This window comes from Homo sapiens, chromosome 4, assembly GCF_000001405.40.
Source record: "Homo sapiens chromosome 4, GRCh38.p14 Primary Assembly".
NCBI lineage: Eukaryota > Metazoa > Chordata > Mammalia > Primates > Hominidae > Homo > Homo sapiens.
Window position 1 is genome coordinate 110,179,656 of NC_000004.12, and position 22,429 is coordinate 110,202,084.

The 22,429-nt window shown below is 43.8% G+C and overlaps 1 protein-coding gene across 4 annotated transcripts in view, besides 4 other annotated features; it reads right to left on the reverse strand.

Annotated features, from left to right (window-relative positions):
- ELOVL6 (ELOVL fatty acid elongase 6) overlaps window positions 1-19,547 on the reverse strand; it is a 153,357-nt gene extending 133,810 nt beyond the window's left edge. Inside the window, exons 1-2 of one of the 4 annotated variants that reach the window (XM_011532233.4) lie at window positions 19,445-19,547; window positions 18,592-18,712 (exon numbers count right to left, since the gene is read on the reverse strand). In XM_011532233.4, the coding sequence (XP_011530535.1) occupies window positions 18,592-18,680 (89 nt within the window). In that variant the 5' untranslated portion in view covers window positions 18,681-18,712; window positions 19,445-19,547. Of the gene's footprint in view, window positions 1-18,591; window positions 18,961-19,186 lie in introns of those variants that run through there. The other 3 variants (XM_011532234.4, NM_001130721.2, NM_024090.3) reach the window with 3 other exon arrangements.
- Window positions 16,658-16,952: an enhancer, noted in NCBI's record as "tiled region #3955; K562 Activating DNase matched - State 1:Tss". NCBI's record gives its function as "activates a minimal TATA promoter and a strong SV40 promoter by Sharpr-MPRA in K562 cells {active_cell/tissue: K562}" and the evidence as "EXISTENCE:reporter gene assay evidence [ECO:0000049][PMID:27701403]".
- Window positions 16,687-16,796: a silencer, noted in NCBI's record as "silent region_15627". NCBI's record gives its function as "represses an Ori minimal core promoter by ATAC-STARR-seq in GM12878 lymphoblastoid cells {active_cell/tissue: GM12878}" and the evidence as "EXISTENCE:reporter gene assay evidence [ECO:0000049][PMID:35858748]".
- Window positions 16,997-17,626: a silencer, noted in NCBI's record as "silent region_15628". NCBI's record gives its function as "represses an Ori minimal core promoter by ATAC-STARR-seq in GM12878 lymphoblastoid cells {active_cell/tissue: GM12878}" and the evidence as "EXISTENCE:reporter gene assay evidence [ECO:0000049][PMID:35858748]".
- Window positions 18,541-19,333: an enhancer, noted in NCBI's record as "NANOG-H3K27ac hESC enhancer chr4:111119352-111120144 (GRCh37/hg19 assembly coordinates)". NCBI's record gives its function as "activates a minimal SCP1, AML or CMV promoter by ChIP-STARR-seq in primed H9 embryonic stem cells {active_cell/tissue: H9 hESC(primed)}" and the evidence as "EXISTENCE:reporter gene assay evidence [ECO:0000049][PMID:30033119]".
- Window positions 19,548-22,429: the final 2,882 nt, after the last annotated feature.

Sequence of the window (22,429 nt, forward strand, 5' to 3'; positions counted from 1 at the left end):
ATGAAAACTTAATTTATATAATGCTTTGGAAAACTACTTCATTCCAAATGTCCTAGATATTGCATATAAACAAGACATACGGAGCTGTTATGTTGTAACTACCTAGAGAAAACAGTTTAAATCTATTATAGCACATCTAGATATGATAAACTATAAACATAAAAGAACCTATATTCTTTCCACTGAGTAAAATTTAATCCTGAAGAAGGACAACCATTAGCACCTAATTTTAGTTATTTTCTGTACTCCATCATGAAAAGGTAGAACATGTCATCAGCTTCACACTCCCTATTCCTCATCCCTCCAGCATTGCTGGGGAAAAAGGAGTCTCTGGACACTGAATGCTCTGTGGGGAAGAAATATCAGCCATAAAATGTTTAGTCAGAAGACAAACTCTTAGGTCTCTGAGGATGAGCCTTCTGTTACTTATCCATGGTATAATTCTCAAAAACACGGTAGAGTTTTTTCTTTTAGTATATGCCACATAGTTTTCTATTGTGAGTGTGCTTATTGTATCCATATAATGCAAGTTCACCCCCTAAAAATCTCGGGTTTGCCTGAATTATCTGTGTGAAATAACACCCACAATCTAAGCCCAGATAGCAGATATAATGTGCTAATCTCGTCTCACTCTAACAGCAGAACTAAAGTTTAGAATTAACATTTGCTGGATTTAAAAAGAATAAGCCAAATCATTAAGAAAGCTTTATTTATTTACTTATATATGTATGTATGTATTTATAGGAACAGGGTCTCATTTTGTTGCCCAGGCTACTGGAGTGGAGTAGTACAATCATGGTTAACTGCTGCCTCAAACTCCGGGCTCAAGCAATCCTCCTGCTTCAGCCTCCCAAATAGTTGAGACTACAAGCAGCTATCAAACCTGGCTAATTATTATTTTCTCTTTTTATTTTTATTTTTTTAATAAAGCAAGATGAGTTCTCACCATGTTGCCCAGGTTGGTCTCAAACTCCTGGAATCAAGCAATTCTCCTGGCCTCACGGCCTCAGCCTCCCAAAGTGCTGGGATTACAGGCATGAGCCACCACACCTGGCCTATACTTTGTTTTCTTATATCCAGAAATAATAATTTAAGTGGTCTATAGCTTAAGAATGAAATTTTGTCTAAATTTAGATAAAGGATAGGAACAAAAAATAGCCAAGAGCTGTTTATAGAGATTTTTAAAAACTATATTCCAAGGCCATGTGTGGTGGTTCACATCTGTAACCCCAGCACTTTGGGAAGCCAAGGCAGAAAGATTACTTGAGACCCGGAATTCAAGACCAGCCCAGGCCCCATAGCAAGACTCAGTCTCTACAAATAATTTAAGAATTTAGCTGGGTGTGGTAATGCATCCCTGTAATCCTACCTACTAGGGAGGCTGAGGCGGAAGGATTGCTTGAGCTTAGGCATTCGAGGTTACAGTGAGCTATGATTGTGCCACTATCCTCCAGCGTGGGAGACAGAGTAAGACCCAGTCTCAAAAAAAAAAAAATTAAATTAAATTAAGGCCGGGCGCAGTGGCTCACGCCTGTAATCCCAACACTCTGAGAGGCTGAGGCGGGTGGATTGCTCGACTCCAGGAGTTCAAGACCAACCTGGGCAACACAGTGAAACCCTATGTCTACTAAAAATACAAAAAATTAGCTAAGTGTGGTGGTGTGCACCTGTAATACCAGATACTCGGGAGGCTGAGGTGGGAGAATCACCAGAGCCCGGGAGGTTGAGGCTGCAGTAAACCAAGATCGCACCTCTGCACTCTAGCCTGAGTGACTAGAGTGAGACCCTGTCTAAATAAATAAATAAATAAAGTTAAAACTGTATATGATTTTGAACCAGTCTCCTCTAACCTCTAGGGACATAGACAATGGAGAGAAAAAGACTGGGATGGAAAGCCAGGTCTTCATAGATCTAAGCCAACTTCCTAGATCCTAGTTAACTTGATCAACTACAGGGTTAACTAAGATGTAAAACAAGGAGGAGAGGAGAGAAAATAAAATAAAATGTAAAACAAAACAAAACATCTACTTTCTGTGTACTGAAAGGTAACCTTCTCCATCTTTCTTCTCTCAGAAAGGAAGTCTAGAAGACTAGAAATGGCCCAGACCAGTATGATCTGCTTCACAAAGCAGTCCTGTGGAAAGCCCTGTCACATTGCTCCCAAGCAGATCACACATACCAGGCTCTCTGGATCCACAGAGCCTGGCCTCTGGACTAGACAGACTGGCCCCTTCTAAACTTCGTTTCAGAGAGTATCAAAATCTTTCTAGCTCCTCTTAACCAGACACTATCTCCTAGGCATTCTGCAGTACTACTGAAGATATTTGTTAACCACGTACTCCAGGTACGTGTGCAGCATCTGTTTCCAGGTGCCACAAGGTCCCTGAGCCAATTATTCTATTCATTTTTTTCTCACTCTAGGGACAGGTTTATGCTTAACCTTTTGTCTGTATTAGATTAGATGACTTTTGTCCCTGGGGAACCTTTGTCCCATTAGATACATTCCTGGGCCCACATGTAAAAGTTGTAATTCTAAAGTTAAATTAATGTTTTTTATCATCCTCCCTTGAAGTATGATCCTTTCCTATTAAAAAAATCAAATTATGTAATTTATTATTGAAGAAGGAGAAACAAGTTTATTGTGACATCAACAATATGGCCCCTCCTCCTCAGTCTAAGAAAGCAAATTCATTTGGAGTAAGAATGGGCAGTTCAATGTCCTCACAAACTGTCTTTATGTTTAATTGTATTGCTAATTTTAATGTTTATTTTTAAATGAATTAGTTTTTTTAAGATTGTTACCTGATACCAGGTATTGTACATACATCTTTGTAGAATGAAACTTATCTTAAAACATTAAGTACATTATAGTTAATGCAAAGAATGTGAAAATAAGACCACATGGATAATCACACCACCCACATATACCCAGAATATAATATGAACAGATTATAGAAAACTGGAACAGGGAGGCCGGGCGCGGTGGCTCATGCTTGTAATCCCAGCACTGTGGGAGGCCGAGGTGGGTGGATCACCTGAGGTCGGTAGTTCGAGACCAGCCTGACCAACATGGAGAAACTCCGTCTCTACTAAAAATACAAAATTAGCCAGGCGTGGTGGCCCATGCTTGTAATCCCAGCTACCTGGGAGGCTGAGGCAGGAGAATCACTTGAACCCGGGAGGCGGAGGTTGCGGTGAGCCAAGATTGCGCCATTGCACTCCAGCCTGGGCAACAAGAACAAAACTCCGTCTCAAAAAAAAAAATGAAAACTGGAACAGCAGAAGGATAAGGAGTAAACTCTGACCTTATTTCTCTCTTGCCCAAATTCCTAGCTAAAGGGTCTGGGGAGTCACACCATACAAATCATAAAATCTCTCCAAACCTGAATCTGGCATAACATCACATGACAGATAAAGAAGGAAATCAAAATATTTTACCCCGAGGCTTCTAGATGACTTTATTTAAAAAACAAACAAACAAAAAAACACCCAAAATATGTTTCTTTGCTACTACGGGCAGTCACGTATGAGACTTTATCTACCTAAGAACCTTATGTAGAACCACAACCCCTTATCTTAACCCAGACACTCTTTTCTACTGATTCCTGGCTTTTAGATAATAATTTAACTCTTTTAACAAACTGCCAATCAGAAAATATTTGAACCCAGCTGTAAGCAACATCCCCTCCCTAATTCAAGTTGTCCTGCTTTCCGGGCAGAACCAATATATACCTCACATGTATTGACTGACGTCTTATGTCTCCCTAAAATGTGTAAAACCAAGCTATAAACCAGCCACCTTGTGCACATGTTCTCAGGACCTCTTGAGACTATACCTCAGGCCATGGTCACTCATATTTGGCTCAGAATAAATCTCTTCAAATATTTTACAGTGCTGTGCTCTTTTCATCAACAAAGATAAATAATAACCATTGTTTTACCACCTTTACAGATCTATTTTTTTTTTACCTCTTTAGTATGTTTTTCTTCCAGGTTTTTTTCTTCTTGTGCATACAATTCCACCCTTCCTTCTACTTTAGAGAAGTCTTTTTTTAAAAGTCATCTCAGCCAGGCACGGTGGCTCACAGCTGTAATCCCAGCAATCTGGATTGCTTTGAGCTCAGGAGACCAGCCTGGGCAACGTGGGGAAATCCCATCTCTACAAACAATACAAAAATTAGCCATGCGTGGTGGTGTATGCCTGTGGTCCCAGCTATTTGGAAGGCTGAAGTGGGAGGATCACTTTAGACTGGGAGGCAGACGTTGCAGTGAGCTGAGATCGTACCACTGTACTCCAGCCTAGGCAACAGAGTGAGACCCTGTCTCAATCAATCAATCAATCAATAAAATATAAAATAAAAAAATCATCTCTCTCTGATTGGAATAGATAGTTTGAGTATCTAGAAAAGGACTAATAATCCCCAACAGTTAGCATGGATTCACTGATAATTAGTCATGTTAAATGCCTATGTTTTCTTCTTAAAAATGAGATCAGATGAAGAGAGTAAAATATTTTTAAGGGACTGGACAATCTCCCATGATTCACTTAACGAAATACAAAGCAGTGCCAGATAATATAATCAGATACATTTAAAAGTTAATGAACAGCCTCGTATGTCCATGCATGCATTCATTCAACTATTCAAACACTGAATATGCCAAATTCTGTGGTAAGCACTGATTTCAGAGAAAATATTTATCTATTTATAAACCAAGTGCCAGTGAACCACAAATAAAGAGCAATAGATATAGATGGGTGGAGAGAAGAAGGCTTTGGAATTCAAATTTCAACTAAGTAGGCACTGGACAAGGGCTGCTTCTAGAGGTAACATTAAGAAGGGAATTTGGTGCCAGATTTTGAATGACCTTAAAACAACGGGAAACCACTGAAGGTTTTTAACCATTGTGATGACAAGATCAGATCAGTGACTCAGAAAGACAATGGGAGGTAGGAATCTAGAAGACTAAAAGTAGTCCTGGGGAGCTAAAGGAAGTCAGTGGCAAGCACAATGAACCGAGAAAAAGGGAACTGACAGCCAACTCACACAGGAATTGGTTGTAAATTACAGGTAGGAGAAAAGGGAGATGAGTACTTTCATGCTGAGCTATGTACTGGTCCCACATAGATGACAAAGCAGGTAAAGCAGATTAGCTAAGGAAGAGTTCAGTCTGTAAAATCGATGGTTTGAGAAGACAAACCCAAAGAATGAGAGATGGAATCAGTTTCATACAGAGCAGTGCTTCTCCCTAGGGCAAGTGGGAAGGTTTTTCACAGTAACACTTGTCTGGACCCCTCCACAGATCTGCTAAATCTGAATCCCTGAGATAAGCCTGTGCATGTGTGTACTGGGGAAAAATAAACCCTATGTAAGTCTGATTCAATACCTGGGTAAGGATCATGGACATGGAGCAAGCTTCTAAAGCTTTTTCTTACCCTACACTTTTCTCTTGTCAGTGGACAAAGGATTTAGTGATTACAAAGAGCTGGCAAAGAACCAAGTACTAACCAAAGTAGTGCAATCACACATAATATCAGCAATCACAAAATACAGGTTCAAAAAAAGTATTTTTGTTAATATGAATGCAAGAGCAGTAATTCAAAACTAAATACAACTCAAGGCAACCTTGTATTCACTGATAACAGTGTCCTTAAATTTTGTAGAATGTCATGTATGTACAGTAGGAGCTTTGCAATGTTCCAAAGCAATGAGTTGCAGCCGTTTTAGCAGAATATGTAATTAGAACCCCACTCCTACCCCCACTCAAGAGCAAGTCTCTAGTACAGACTTACTGTGTTGAATGTACTAAGTGCCAAATTTTAGCAAGTTTTAATAAATCTCTTAGAGGTTTCTAGTAGGTAATACTTAATTGTTCAAACCAAAAGAGGGCTAATATTTTATTTTTCTTAAGTAGCTAGGTGGATTACCAGTGGACTGCAAATAAAATTTGAGAAATGGCTTAGAAAAGAAGGCCTAGAGAGAACATAATATGTACAAGTAGTATTAAGACAACCATGCAGAAATGGAAATAAAAGTCAGCTAGAGTCACAATTAGGATGACAGGAGGACTGATGGAGGAACCTGTCTTTCAGGTCAATATGTAGAAGAACCTTTAATGAAAGGATAGAACTTTCAAGTCAGTATGTAGAAATACCTTCAATCAGCCACTCCATGTATAATGGACTGAAAGGGGCTTCCTGAGAAGTCCTGAGGTCTTGGATAACCAAGAGAAGAATAAGAAAATGATTTATTTAAGGCTGGGCACGGTGGCTCACACCTGTAATCCCAGCACTTTGGGAGGCCGAGGTGGGCGGATCACAAGGTCAGGAGTTCGAGACCACCCTGGCTAACATGGTGAAACCCTGTATCTACTAAAAATAGAAAAATTAGCCAGGCATGGTGGCAGGCACCTGTAGTCTCAGCTACTCAGGAGGCTGAGGCAGAAGAATCGCTTGAACCCGGGAAGCGGAGGTTGCAGTGGGCCAAAATTGCACCACTGTACTACAGCCTGGGCAACAGAGCGAGACTCCGTCCCAAAACAAAACAAGACAAAACAAAAACAAAAACAAACAGAAAAAAAATAAAGTGACTTAACAAGTAGGTGACTATTCCTGCTGACCACCAACCCACACAAAAATGCTATCATCTATAACCTTCTCTACAGTCAAGAAAACTTATTTTGAGACATCTGATAGCCTACCCATCTCTCTCCTACCGGCCCCCACACAACGTAAAAATAAACAACACTGAGAAGCAGTGTGATAGTCTTTCTTTTGTCCTCTTCTGATCAGACTCTCTACATTCTGAATGTTGGGATGTTTCTGATTCAAAACAAGCAGTATGGGTTAGTGCCAGTGATTATTTTAAATATAAGTGGAATGGGTTCAGGTGCAATGGCTCTAATCCCAGCACTTCAGGAGGCGGAGGTCACTTAAGGTCAGGAGTTCGAGACCACCCTGGCCAACATGGTAAAACCCTGTCTCTACTAAAAATACAAAAATGAGTCGGGCATGGTGGCACGTGCCTGTAAGTCCAGCTAGTCAGGAAGCTAAGGTGGGAGAATCACTTGAACCCAGGAGGTGGAGGTTGCAGTGAGTTGAGATTACACCACTGCACTCCAGCCTAGGTAACAGAACGAGACTCTGTCTCAAAAAAAAAAAAAAAAAAAATATATATATATATATATATATTTATATATATACACACACAAATATATACATATATACACATATATATATACATATATATGGAATGTTTCAAAAAAAAAAACTATCAATTGAATAAAACCGTGGATGTCAATGTTCCGTGATTTCAAATTCATTATGTATTATTCAATAAAGTAGGTAAACCTATCTTATGATGTCATGTAATAGTTATTATAATTAGCCAATCCTTATCTTCACTCATTTTATATTTATTCTATTACAATTTTAACATTTCAATTTATGATGAAAATTTAAAAATGTGTGAGGCAGTGCATAGTTTTTTAAACTTCTATTAGAGGCATATGAGTAAAAGAGTCTGAAAATCACTCCTTTTCCTATGGAAAACTCCATAAAACAAATTTCTTCTGATTAAGCACCACAATTAAGAGGTCCTTTGACCTCTTAATTGTCCCTTAATTTACATAGTATCTATTGTTTCAGTCCTTTCTGGAGCCATTTTTGACTGGACATGAAGTTTCCACCTCTTCACAAGAGTTACTATGTAGCAAACAGTAAGCAGAGAAAAAGCATATAACCTAACTGCTTGGACAAATGAAGGCTTCTCAAGTTAGACCTCAGCAAAATGAAAAAAAAAAAAAAATTGCTTGGGAGGCCGAGGCAGGCGGATCACCTGAGATCAGGAGTTTGAGACCAGTGAAACCCCGTCTCTACTAAAAATACAAAAAATTAGCCTGGCATGGTGGCACGCATGTGTAGTCCCAACTAATAGGGAGGCTGAGGCAGGAGGATCACTTGAACCCAGGAGGCAGAGGTTGCAGTGAGCCAAGATCACACCACTGCACTCCAGCCTGGGTAACAGGAATGAAACTCCATCTAAAAAAAAAAAAAAAAAATTGTAATGTGATAGTACGTAAATCTGTTCAGTGCAGTCCCTGGCACATAGTAGGGAACCCAGGCTGTCACAGTTTAGGTACTGAATGGTCTAAGGCATACTAAAAAACCTGGAAACAAGGCTGAAGGAAATGGAGCAAAATAACAGTGGCAGCCTCTGGAAAAGAATTAAAGGTGTTTCCTTTCCGACATCTTTATACTTCTTAATGTTTTCATTTCATTTCTTTTCCTGTAACTATTTCTTACCTTAGAATCAGGAAAAGAATTTAAAGCTACTAAAATGAAACAAAAGGTATTCTGTGATTCTTCACATTGTAGGAGCTGACCTTCAAGAATAGGGATATCCCCAACCCACATATTTTTATTTTACTGTCAACAGTGGGTGGCTATTTACAAGTAGCTACACTAAAACCTGCTGGGAAGAAAGTCTGGCTGCAGATCAGATGGAAACACAAATTCCCAGGGTCTAGAACCAAGCTGAGTGCAAGAAATTAATATCACAGAGCAGACAGTAAATATTTCATAGGCCAAAGCTTTATTCTGGCCTTAAGTATTCAGGATCCACCCAGTGAAAATTATTAACAAAAGAGACATTTGTGAGATCATTGACTAAAACCACAGATACCTGACACGTTTCCAGTGCAGCCAAGTTTTCAAGTGCATTGTTTTTCTGATTGAATATTATATTAATATTCAAATAAGAGGATGATTGGGGCCTTGTGACACACCCCTCATCATCACACCAGCCATCCAAGCCTTATTCAAGCCTGGAACCCAGTTTTCCTTTTCTGATTCCTACATGCAAATCCCAACTCCCCTTCCTGAGTTGTCCATCGTGCAAAAGATCATAAAGGGTGGCTGCAAGGGTTTAACAGTTAAAGTACGTAAAACATTGGCCAGGCGCGGTGGCTCATGACTGTTATCCCAGCACTTTGGGAGGCCGAGGTGGGAGGATCACCTGAGGTTAGGAGTTCGAGACCAGCCTGACCAACATGGAAGAAACCCCATCTCTACTAAATATACAAAAAAAATTAGCCAGGCATGGTGGCGTATGCCTGTAATCCCAGCTACTCAAGAGGCTGAGGCGGAGAGTTGCTTGAACCTGGGAGGCAGAGGTTGCGGTGAGTCGAGATCATGCCATTGCACTCCACTGGGCAACAAGAGTGAAACTCGGTCTCAAAAAAAAAAAAAAAAGTAAAACATTATAAAAGGATGCCTGCAATCAGGTAACCATGTATTAACTGTTAGTATCATTGCTCCTGAATGAAGAAAATCTACCCTGCTGTCTAGGTGTGGTGGTTTACACCTGTAATCCTAGCACTTTGGGAAGCTGAGATGGGAGGATCACTTGAGGCCAACAGTTCAAAACCAGCCTGGGCAACATAGCAAGACCCCCATCTCTCCAATACAATAAAAAAATTAGTTGGGCAAGGTGGTGCGTGCCTGTAATCCCAGCTACTTGGGAGGCTGAGGCAAGAAGATCGCTTGGACCAAGAAGCGGAGTTTGAGATTACAGTGAAGTATGATTGTGACACTGCACTCCAGCCTGGGTGACAAGCAAGACCCTGTCTCTATTTAAAAAAGAGAGAGAGAGGCTAGACGCAGTGGCTCACGCCTGTAGTCCCAAAACTTTGGGAGGCCGAGGTGGGCGGATCACTTGAGGCCAGGAGTTCGAGACCAGCCTGGCCAACATGGTGAAACCCCGTCTCTGCTAAAAATACAAAAATTAGGCAGGTGTGGTGGCAGGTGCCTGTAATCCCAGCTACTCAGAAGGCTGAGGCAGGGGAACTGCTTGAACCCAGAAGGTGGGAGTTGCAGTGAACTAACAGCCAAGATCATGCCACTGCACTCAGACTGGGAGACACAGCAAGACTCTGTCTCAAAAAAAAAAAAAAAAAAAAAAGAGAGAGAGAGAGAGAAAAGAAGAAAATGAAGTTATACTTGTTTACTTGTTTCACTTTAAATAGGATTATAGGGCTTGGCGCAGTGGCTCACACCTGTAATCCCAGCACTTTGGGAGGCCGAGGTGGGCAGATCACAAGGTCAGGAGATCGAGACCATCCTGGCTAACACAGTGAAACCCCGTCTCTACTAAAAATAGAAAAATTAGCCAGGTGTGATTGTGGGCGCCTGTAGTCCCAGCTACTCGGGAGGCTGAGGCAGGAGAATGGTGTGAACCCGGGAGGCAGAGCTTGCACTGAGCCGAGATCATGCCACTGCACTCCAGCCTGGGCGACAGAGCCAGACTCCATCTCAAAAAAAAAAAAAAATTGGATTATAAACCTCATGTGTGTTTTGAGGAGGTAGATCTCCCTCCCCAAAATATATTTCATCAATAAAACTTTCCTTATATCACAACTAGGAACTCTTCTATAAAAGTTTTAGCAAGAAAAAAAAAACTGAAATATGAATCCCTGTAAATAAAAGTATTACAAAACTATGAGTGATTTTCTAGCAAAACTACTTACAATCAGCATGTCTAATTTATCTCAGCAAATTTATCTTAGCAAAGGTAAGTGTAAGTCTTTTTTCTCCTGTACTTTTTTTTTGTACAAAGTAAAGACTTAAAGTTAAATCTCAGTAAGTTCACAGTGGGCAACTAACTCAGCAAAGGGTTTCCTAGTAATAGGAACCTTAAAACTAAAAGTCGCAAACACTCAATGCAGAAAGGAATCATGATAAATGTGTAGGCTTGACCTTAGATGACTGACATGGTTCCAAGCTTTGGGATAACTATTGCACAACCAACTTAAAATTACAAATTCATATTCTTTACTCTTGGGCAATACTTTTTTTGTTTTGTTTTGTTTTGAGACGGAGTCTCACTCTGTTGCCCAGGCTGGAGTGCAATGGTGCAATCTCGCCTCACTGGAACCTCGGCCTCCTGGGTTCAAGCGATTCTCCTGCCTCAGCCCCTGGAGTAGCTGGGATTACAGGCGCCCGCCACCACGCCCGGCTAATTTTTGTAGTTTTAGTAGAAATAGGGTTTCACCATGTTGGCCAGGCTGGTCTCGAACTCCTGACCTCAAGTGATCCACCCACCTCAGCCTCCCACAGCGCTGGGATTACAAGTATAAGCCACCATGCCCGGCCACTTTTTTTTTTTTCAATTTTTGTGTTTTTTTTGAGACACAGTTTTGCTCTGTTGCCCAAGCTGCATTGCAGTGGCATAATCTCAGCTCACTGCAACCTCCGCCTCCAGGTTCATGCCATTCTTGTGTCTCAGCATCCAGAGTAGCTGGGACTACAGGTGCGTACCACCATGACCAGCTAATTTTTGTATTTTTTGTAGAGACAGGGTTTCGCCACTTTGACCAGGCTGGTCTCGAACTCCTGACATCAAGTGATCCGCCTGCCTCGGCCTCCCAAAGTGCTGGGATTACAGGTGTGAGCCACCATACCCGACCCATACAATACTTTTTAAAAAAGGACCCATGTATCTCTAAAATAAATTATTGGAGGGTAAATATAATTAGAGATGCTGGGTTTTTTTAAAGTTCTCAGAAACCTCAATAACTATGCCAACATTTGTACCTGCCTGAATACATGTACAATCAGAATCTGGATAAAGGAATGAAGTTATGAGTTTTAACATTACAATATAGCCAAGTCATAGTTTCACTCAGATTACCTAGGGTTATCAACAGAAATGACATATGTGGTACAGGTAACTTTCCCTAAACCCTCCTAAAAAAGATAAATGAGAAGTAAATGGGAGCGGGTGGATGTGAGCTACATAAAGAGTAAAGGGAGGGCTGAGGCAAACTTTGTAGAATGATGTCTGGTTCCTATTAATAAAGGACAGTTTGGCTCACCTGTGTCCATATGTGAAAAATTAAGTTAATCATTAAGACAATGTTTGGTTAACTCATTTCAGAAAATAAAATACTTGGACCTGAAATATTTCAGATCACTTAAGCCAAGATAAATTCCTGAATTGCCAGAATGGTGCCACACTCATTTTACTTTGTTGTCTAAAGACTGATTAGATGGGGGGCCGGGCACCTGTAATCCCACCTACTCAGGAGGCTGAGGCTTGAACCCAGGAAGCAGAGGTTGCAGTGAGCCAAGACCAGGCTCAAAAAAAAGAAAAGAAAAAGAAAATTGATTAGATGGTTATTGTATATCCCCCTAAGTATTTCAAAACCTCCGTCCCCCTCATAACTCTTCCACTATCTAAGCTGAAAGATTCCTCTGGCCGGGCATGGTGGCTCACACCTGTAATCCCAGCACTTTGGGAGGCCGAGGTAGGTGGATCACCTGAAGTCAGGAGTTCGAGACCAGCCTGACTAACATGGTGAAAACTCGTTTCTACTAAATACAAAAAAATCAGCCGGGTGTAGTGGCGCATGCCTGTAAACCCAGCTACTCAGGAGGTTGAGGTAGGAGAATCACTTGAACCCAGGAGGCAGAGGTTGCAGTAAGCCGAGATGGAACAATTGCACTCCAGCCTGGGCAACAAGGGCAAAACTCCATCCAAGAAAAAAAAAAAAAAGAAAGAAAGAAAAAAAAGAAAAAGAAAGATTCTTCTTTCAAGGAAGTATATAAGGCAACTCTTAGATATGGAATAAGTTGACTTTGAAGTTTCCAGCCATTTTTCTTACAAATGCACGCAGAAGGTTACGAGGAAGATTTCAGGAAGAAATTTAAAGCAATCCTCACTAAAGGAAAAACAACAGTGAAATACTATGTCTGCATTTGAAAAGTTTCATTAAGTTCCAATGTTATACACTTTGACACATTTAGAATCACCCTCAAACAAAAAAGCAACAGGCAATCCTCTGAAGATCACAAAATTTTACTTCCAATGTGAAAAAGACTTCATGAAAAAATTTTAAGCACTAATTATAACTAGTACAAATACACAGATGGATAATATAATCATAAAATATTTTGCATTAAGCTGGCTTTCATCCTTTGGAATCCTAAACAAGAATTGCATGAATATTTATAATTTATTAAAAGATACATGAAAGTTCATATCAAAGCTCCAGCACAACTTTACATTATTTTCTAGGACCCCACACAGATTACACGTTTTTTCTCTATGTATTTTCTCATTCTTCTCACTCTTAACCTAGTACATATGCCTACATCCCAGTGCTTTCTAAAAATTATTGAATGTCATGTTATGATCCTCACACAAGTTTTAATCCTAAATCAATATGAACTGTGATACCTCAAAATAAACAGCAAGTGACATGAGTACAATATAGACACACTATATTCCTACAGAGCTGACCAAATTTGTTGCTGCAATGTTAATGATGAAATGAAACTCTGGCCTACTCTGTTCCATAGTCACAGATGCACTGTTTTCCAGCCATTTTTCTTACAAATGAATGTAGAAGGTTGCAAGGAAGACTTCAGGAAGCAATTCAAAGCAATCCTCACTAAATGAAAAACAACAGCCAAATACTATGTCTGCATTTGAACAGTTTCATTAACATTATGCTGCTATATTTTTTATGCTGCTATATTTGAGTTAAATGCTAACACAGGTTTTTAGTGCTTTTTATGTTCTTTAATCATGAAATTGTACATCGTGTTACTTTCCAAACTTCACCTACAAAAAAGATATAGATGTACAACTCCTTTTAAAATGTTTCACGGCCGGTTGCAGTGGCTCAAGCCTGTTATCTCAGCACTTTCGGAGGCCGAGGTGGGCGGATTACTTGAGGTCAGGAGTTCAAGACCAACCTGACCAACACGGTGAATTCCCATCTCTACTAAAAATACAAAAATTAGCTTGGTGTCATGGCAGGCACCTGTAATCCCAGCTGCTTGGGAGGTTGAGACATAAGAATCACTGGAACCCGGAGGCAGAGGTTGCAGTGAGCCAAGATTGTGCCACTGCACTCCAGCCTGGGCAACAGAGTGAGACCCTGTCTCAAAAATAAAACAAAATAAAATAAAATGTTTCACTCCATTTTTACCTTTGGTAAAAACAAATTTGTGAATAAAAAGGCTTCCTCAGCTGAACAGCATTTAATTCTTAAAATTCCTATACTATCTTATAGACTCTATAATACAGAATACAAAATGTTAAAACAAGTAAACCCTTTTACACCACCAAGGGAGTGAGTGGGGAGAAAAGTCAGAAAAATATATAAAGCTTTGAAAGGCTGGATGTGTGGAGAATGCCAGGAGAGGGGGAGGGTTTCATGAAGTTCTAGGCAAGCCCTTTGAAGACGTCACCTCACATACATAATGTTACAGCAGTCAGCACAGGCCTCCTGCTTTCCTATTGGTGGGCACCGTGTCAGCCGACATCAGAAGATAATCATCATTGGCTAGACAATTACAACTGGAGCAACTAGCATCCACTGCTGTTAGCACAAACCTGGCAGGCTGCTGAAAGAGAAGGCAGAGAGAGCCCAGCTTCCCTTCTCACTCAATGAATTATATGTCGCCTTAGCAATCACCAGGTGATTTTGCTCCCTGGCTAGCAGCACTTCCAACTTAAGTCAGCTCTTAGTGAGAAAAACAGGTAAAGGCCAGACATCTCATAAAAGAGCAAAATGTCTCTATTTTCAATGTTGTAAAATTGCAAGGACTTTTCAGTGAAAATTAGAATTCAAAACTCCTATTTGGACCTATGAGCAGACATTTTTCTCTACCTCATGTAATAAACTCTCATTGACCAGATAATATAACCAGACAGGATATTTTTCACTGGACATGTAGTTTCAAGATGAGGCCCAGGATGATTCTACAAGGGAATACACTTATTACTTTGCATTTCAATTGCTATTCTAACCTATTATATATGAAACTTTTTGCTAGCAAAGTAAAAAAAGTCTGCAGTATTTACTTTCATGGCTAGGCCAATGAGTATGAGGTTAATGATTCATTAAAGCAGCAATAAACTTGAAAACTAGCCTCAGTTGAACCCTTTAGGGTTTATACAAATGCTACTCCAAAAGTCGGGCCCCATTCCATTAACACGTGCTATGGTTAGTAAGTATGGATTATAGGGTATGTTAACATTAATTTGCGCTATGGTTAGTAAGTATGGATTATAGCGTATGTTTAATAAAGTATTCTTATTTTAGGTCCTCTTAAATGATGCTAGTTAGCAAAGGCAGCATACTGGCAAAATACTACTCCTGGCCATTCTCACAGTTCTTCAAAAGCCAATGTAGTTCACTTTTGAGAGAGGATGTTTTAATTCTCTAAATTAACAAGTTTTGCCTGTTACTAAGAAGAGATTTATAAGGACAACCATAAATTCCCAAAAGACAGAGTAGAAGCTTCACTATATCATGTTTTTCCTCCAGAAGCTATTTCAAACCATTTTAAGTTAATGAGTCTGAAAAAGGTAAGATTTTATGGTTTCCTCAAGTTCCTCTCTCCTCAAGAGGGTCTAAGCCTTGGTTATGGAGTTCCCTTCTCCTATTAAAAAGGGAGTGAAAAGAAAATCTGGTTCAAGACTTTTTGTCCTGCATTAGCTGGATTCTATTAAAAATAAAAACTAAAAGCTTTAATTTGAACCTCCCGGGTTCAAGCAATTCTCCTGCCTCAACCTCCCGAGTAGCTGGGATTACAGGCACCCGCCACCACGCTCGGCTAATTTTTTTGTATTTTTAGTAGAGATGGGGTTTCACCATATTGGCCTGGCTGGTCTCGAACTCCTGTCGTCAGGTAATCCACCCACCTCAGCCTCCCAAAGTGCTGGGATTACAGGCAGGAGCCACCACACCCGGCTAATAAAATTAAATTTTAAAAAGTGTTTAAAGTCTTTTTGGCTGTACAGTTTTTGGGGAGGGAGGAGAGATAAAATTGGGCACCCTGGGATATTGGGAGAAATGCACAAAATCTGGCATTTAAAAAAAAACATGAAAGTAAGACAATTAGGGTCAGGAAGAGTTGCAAGGGAGGGGTAACAGCCAGCAGGGTTCTTTGACTGCAATAAGCAATCTAAGAACATAACATCAACAGAGAGCAGAAGCCAGGAAGGGAAAAATCCCAAGATGTGACTCTGCCACGGTATGCAAGTTCTAGCCTGTTAACCTTCGGGTATTAACGAGTAGTGCTGGCAATAAAATGGGCACCAATCACCATTTCAACTCACTGGACATTTTCTCAAGAATGTGCCTTATGCAAAGCACTCTGCTAGGTGCTTTGCAGAATCAAGAGTGGGATGACAAGAACCGTAACCTGAAGAGCTGATGGTCTGTAAGTTAATAACCATGTATATAACAGTAAAGGATATTGCCAGAAGAAAGGTACAGATAAAGAACTAGGAGGAAACAGTGGTCAGAACCTAACAGGAGTAGATACGTTGGCACATTTTTGTCATTTTCAGTCCCACGAGGGCTGAGACCTGTCTGGCTCAGTACTGAGTGAATGGAGAGAAGAGGCGGGAAATGGTACCTGAAGCAGGCCTAGGAAGTGGCCTCAGAGAAAAAGCAACAAGTAAATAAGAGGCAGTATCGACTGCAGTGGGCTAGGAATGGCGGGCGTACAGTGAATGGGGTCAGCCAGCAAAGCGAGGGAAAGCGGACTCCGGAAGAGCAGGTTAAACCAGGACGCAGCAAGTCAGAGATTCGGCACAGAAGCAAATGCTGACCACACTGACCACACAGGCTAATGCGGGAGGACTGTGGGCCCGAACAGGCCGGCTGGAGGATATGACAAACATGTGCGGAGAAGACCCGGGCCCGGGGCTAGCCAGCAGCGCGGTTCCGGCGCCCGCCGGCTCCGGCCACCGCCCCCTCCCCGCCTCCAGCACCACCCCCTAAGCGGGAGGAGGAAGTGCATCCAGAGAAGGACCCCGGGCGGTGGGGCTCGAGGGGCCTCGGCTGCCCCGAAACGCCGAGGTCTATCTGCGGTCTCGACCCTTAGTGTCCAACCTCCTTCCGGACCCACCCCTGCACCCCCTGGCCTCAGCGGCCCGGGAGGGCACCAGCCCTGTGCCTGTGTGGCTGCTGCACTTCCAGTCCTTCCGAGCGGCCCGCGTCCCCGCCTCTTAGGCTCCGGCTCGGGCCAGACGCGGCCCTTGGGCCCCTAGCCCACCGCCGCCACCAGCCACGCCGCAGCTCACCCCAAGCAGGCCTGCCCCGCCGGTGCGCGCGGCCCAGGAGGCGGGCTCCGCCCGGCAGCCGCCGCAAATGGCCATTGGGGCCCGGACCAGCCCGCGGGAAGCTGGGAGTGGGCGCGCTCCGGCCGGGCGGGAGGAGAAGGAAGCGGCGGCCGGGCCTCCCGACACTGGCCGGCGACTCCAGGGGGCTGGAGGACAGGAAGTTGAAACCCCCTTTTCGCAGCTGCGGCCCCGTGGCACCAGCTCCTACTGCACCAACCCGCCCAGGCCACAGGCGCGCCGGCGTTTCTGGTTTCCAGTTGAAGAGGGCAGGCGGGAGGGCGCGGGGCACGCGCGCTCGCGCACGCGGCGGGCGGAATCCCCCGGCTCCCGGGAGACCCTGCGGCCCGACCCTCCCCGGTCAAGCCATCCCCCGGGCTGCCGGCCCCTTGCCTAGCTCCGGGGTGCGTTGGGCTTGAACTTTACAGATCGCCAGACCCGAAGTTAAGGGGAGGAGAGGAATGCCTCTGCCACAACCCTGTCTACAAGAAGCGAGATGAGCACACCCTCCTCTGTTAAATATTGCAAGGTGACACTGGATCGCCTCCCACACAGGGATTTTCAAAAGGTCTGGCGGGGGGACTACAGTAAACAAGAAAGGTGTTTTCCCTGATTATTAGTTTCCTAGGGAAGAGCCCCTAAGGACTCTGCAGACGGAGGGGCTTTTAATCTGTGTGCCTGAACTCCAATCAGCAGCTACGCACAGAATTAGAAGTGTGTCCAAAAGGCGTTTCCGTAAAACAGAAACTTAATAATGGCGTGGCTCCACTCGCTCGGGTTCATTCATTTATTACTGTTTTCATTGTCCCCTCCTCCCTCCCACCCGGTCTCTCTATGAAACCGGAAAGGGAACCGCGTGGGGAAAGGGGTACTAAAAAGGGGGCATCCGCCTGAGGAGCGGCAGACAGAGGAGGACGGTGAAGTAGGAGCGCTGCAAGGAGAAAGGAAGGACACGAGGGATGGAGAGACAGCGAGGACCAGGGCCAAGGGCGGCGGGCGGGAGAGGGTTAAAGGCAACAGGAGACAAGGTCCTCCCTCCACTGCCTTTCACACTCCGGTTGCGGGAGAGGCCAAGCGAGAAAACCCAAATCTAGATGAAAACCGGGGGAGGGGAGGGGAGCACAGGTAGGCGATCTGGACTGTGGCATCTCTCCCGCCTTCCCTGTCGCGCAGACATCACCCTGTGCACACACATATGTTCTGTGTTATATAATCTATATAAAAGATGCCTATGTAGCCGCGGTTCACACAGGGGCACCCACAGACCTCGCGCTTCATGTACCCCCCCCCCCCCAGCGTCTCCTGCACCCGGGAGACCCGAGAACTCAGCGATCAGCTGGCTGCCCGCGATTCATCGCTCCATTCACGCCCAGGCAGGGAATACCGACATTAAGGCACTCCGGGAAGACGCGCAGGGCTCCCGGGAACAGTATCAGGCGAAAGCATCACGTACCAGTTTTCCTGCATCCATTGGATGGCTTCATTCTCGTTGAACTGCTTTTCGAATTCATATTCTTGTAAAGTCAACACTGACATGTTCATTGGGGCTGATCTTCGGAGTCGCTACGTGTTCTCTATACAAAATAAAATAATCTGTAAAGCGCTTGATTTCGAGTGTTCTCCTGTCTGCTTCCCCCACCCACCCCCCTAGGTCTTCCCCACGCCGCTCGGTCTCCAGCGGTCGTCTCTTCTCCCAGCCTCTCAGCTACATCCAGGGCTGAGCATTGCCTGCGCCTCCGCTCCCAGCTCCTCTCTCTGGGGCTCTCCTCCTCCCGGCGTCCGCATCCACCGTAGGAGGAAATGAATGCCTTGCGGTCTTAGTGCCCGCACGTTTGTCCATCACCCTTTTTACTCGTCTACAGGGAAATCTCCTCCCCCTCGTGCGATTTGAGAAATTAACCCTTGGCGAGGGAGTGTGCGAAAGAGCGCGACCTCTCTCCGCCCGGGGGGGACAGTTTTGTTTACAGCGAAGGTGGTTGGAAGAGTGGGGGAAGGGCGCAGAGAGAAAGGAAGTGGCCTGGAGGTCATCCAGATCCCCTAAGCCCAACCTCGTGGGCCGCCTTGCTTTGAATGAAGTTTCAGCTTGCAGGGCGCATCCCCGCGGCGCGTGGACCCGAGAGCTTGGCGAGTAAACGATTGGGAAATAGTAAAACCTGCCAGCTCTCTTGCAAGAGAACTCCGGGCAAATCTACGTTGAGATCACCAGTGAAGGGAATACGCTTCCCACCTCCTCGCCCTACCTCTGGGACCACCCCCACCCCTACCCCCACCCCCACCCGGGAGCTCTGGCTTAGATTCACGCTAACCCAGGCCCTGCGGACGGCAGAGCTCCTTAATCTCGTACAGACAGGGGATGCTGAGTGTGAGGATAGTGGATAGGCGAGAGAGGCTAGTAGCCGGAAGTGGAAGAAAGGGCTGGGTTAGGTGGAGGGTTTAGGTACCGGGAAGGGGGGGATTAATGAACAGAGGCAGAGTGGGGAAGGAAGCTGACAGGAGAACTGGACCGACTGGCCAAATGCAAAAACTTTATTTGCATGCATGAGAAATTTGGCTTTACTTGCTGTACTTGTAGGTAGAACAGAATATGTGAGGAGAGGGCTGAATGTACTGTTGACCCCTACTGGGCCCTCAGCCTCCAAGAGGAAAAACTATTTTCTATTCCATCCATCCCTCCACTCATTTCCCCCAAGAGTTTGGAAAAATGAAATATGAGACATGGAAGTATCTAATGATGTAATTGTAAACTTTACAAAATAATAAGGAGCCCTGCTTTTAAAAATTAGGTGGATATTAGGACCAGAAAGAAAATTCCCCTTCTGAGAACATCCCCCCACCTCCCCAGTAGTCCAAAAAGGGTACTTTCATTCAATTTAGATGCCTCTAACCCACAAAAAGTGGGAACTGGGAGAAAAATTTTTAAAGGAGGAAGGGACCGGCCGCGGTGGTGGCTCACAGAAGTAATCCCAGCACTTTGGGAGGCCGAGGTGGGCGGATCACCTGAGGTCAGGAGTTCAAAACAGCCTGGCCAACATGGTGAAACTCCGTCTCTACTAAAAATATAAAAATCAGGCAGGCGTGGTGGCGGGCACCTGTAACCTCAGCTACTCAGGAGGCTGAGGCAGGAGAATCGCTTGAACCCGTGAGGTAGAGGTTGCAGTGAGCCAAAATTCTGCCACTGCACTCCAGCCTGGGCGACAGAGGGAGACTCTGTCTCCAAACAAACAAACAAAAAAAAAAAAGAGGAAGGTCTAATGAGAAAGTAAAGAAATAATTTTTAAAATCCAGTACAATATATAGATTAAAGGGCTAGCCTAGTTGATTAGCAAATTAATGTATACATTGACACTGCCAAAGATTCTGTGTAGGGACTGTCCTCATCTCCCCCATTAAGGGTTGTCTTTCTTTTTTCTTTTTCTTTTTTTTTTTGAGATGGAGGAGTCTCGCCCTGTTGCCCAGGCTGGAGTGCAGTGGTGCAAACTCGGCTCACTGCAACCTCCGCCTCCCAGGTTCAAATGGTTCTCTTGCCTCAGCCTCCCCAGTAGCTGGGATTATAGGCAAGCACCACCACGCCCGCCTAATTTTTGTGTTTTTAGTAGAGATGGGGTTTCACCATGTTGGCCAGGCTGGCTGTGATCCACCTGTCTCAGCCTCCCAAAGTTCTGGGATTACAGGCATGAGCCACCATGCCCAGCCAAGGGTTGTCTTTCTAGAGACCTCTACAGTACAAGTCTACGTCACTTTGAAGTAAGGCCCAGGCCAAAACTCTTGGCAAGATTGGGCTGGAAGATAGGTGTGGCCAGATAAGAAAGAACCATTTTAGCACGGTGCCTGAGCCTGTGAATAATCAATAAATATTTGTAAAGTGAATGATTCATCAAATAAATTAAGGTAAGAAGTGAGAAAGGAATCAAGACAGAAAATCCACTTTGGGTGGCTGAGGCAAGACAATTGCTAGAGACCAGACTGGGCAACATAGTGAGGCTCCATCTCTACAAAAAATTAAAAATTAGCCAGGTGTGGTGGTACATGCCTGTAATCCCAGTTACTCTGGAGGCTGAGATGGGAGGATAGCTTGAGCCTGGGAGGTCAAGGCTGCAGTGAGCCATGATCACACCACTGCAGTCCGGCTTGGGTGACAGAGTGAGACCTTATCTCAAAAACAAACAAGCACTGTCAGTGACTTTGAAAACTGGTGACTCTGTATGGAAAGCAATTTGGCAGCCTATATGATAATTTCATTTATTTTTTAGAGATGGGGACTTGTTATGTTTTCCACGCTAGGACTATAGGCACCCAGCATATATCACAATTTTAAATCCACACCATTAATTCACCAGAATTATTTTTTTTTTTGAGATGATGTCTCCCTCTGTTGCCCAGGCTGGAGTGCAGTGGCGCGATCTCGGCTCACTGCAACCTTTGCCTCCTGGGATCAAGTGAGTCTCCTGTCTCAGCCTTCCAAGTAGCTGGGATTACAGGAATGTGCCACCATGCCCAGCTAATTTTTGTATTTTTAGTACAGACAGGGTTTCACCATGTTGGCCAGGACGGTCTTGAACCCCTGACATCAGGTGATCTGCCTGCCTCAGTCTCCCAAAGTGCTAGGATTATAGGCGTGAGCCATCGCACTTGGCCTACCAGATATATTTTGAGTACATACTCATCTGAGCTCTTGGGACTCACAAATGAGACAAACAGGGCTCTTGCGCACTTGGAGCTTACATTCCAGAAGGGAAGACAAAATAATTTCTTAGAGAATGAAATGCTAGGATTACAATTTAACAGCATGACATGAAGGCCTGGGAGTGCTCATTTAAACCTGGAAGGCCTCAGGGAGAAGGACTTTGAGTTGAGACCCCGCTGGCAAAGAGCCAGCCACCTCTTGCAGAAGTGTTACAAAGAAGAATGAGCAAGTACAAAGGCTCCTAGGAAAAGAATAAATTTGCGGGATTGAGGACAAAAGGCTGGTGTGGCTTCAGGCCATCAGTAAGGAGTAATTGAAAGAAACAGGTTGAAGAGACAGGCAGGGGTCAGATCTTGGCCACAGGTAAATCAAGATAAGGTGTTTAGATTTTATTCTCAACTGCAGTGGAGTGGAGGAGGATAAAAGAATGTTAAACCGAATAATAGCATGATAATTCCTAGTAAATTCACTGCTATGGATATACTCACCGAAACATTCCGGATATATGTCTAAGATATTCAGCATTGGGCTGGCATTATGCTTGTAATCCCAGCACTTTGGGAGGGCGAGGTGGGCTGATTGCTGGAGCCCAGGAGTTCAAGCCCAG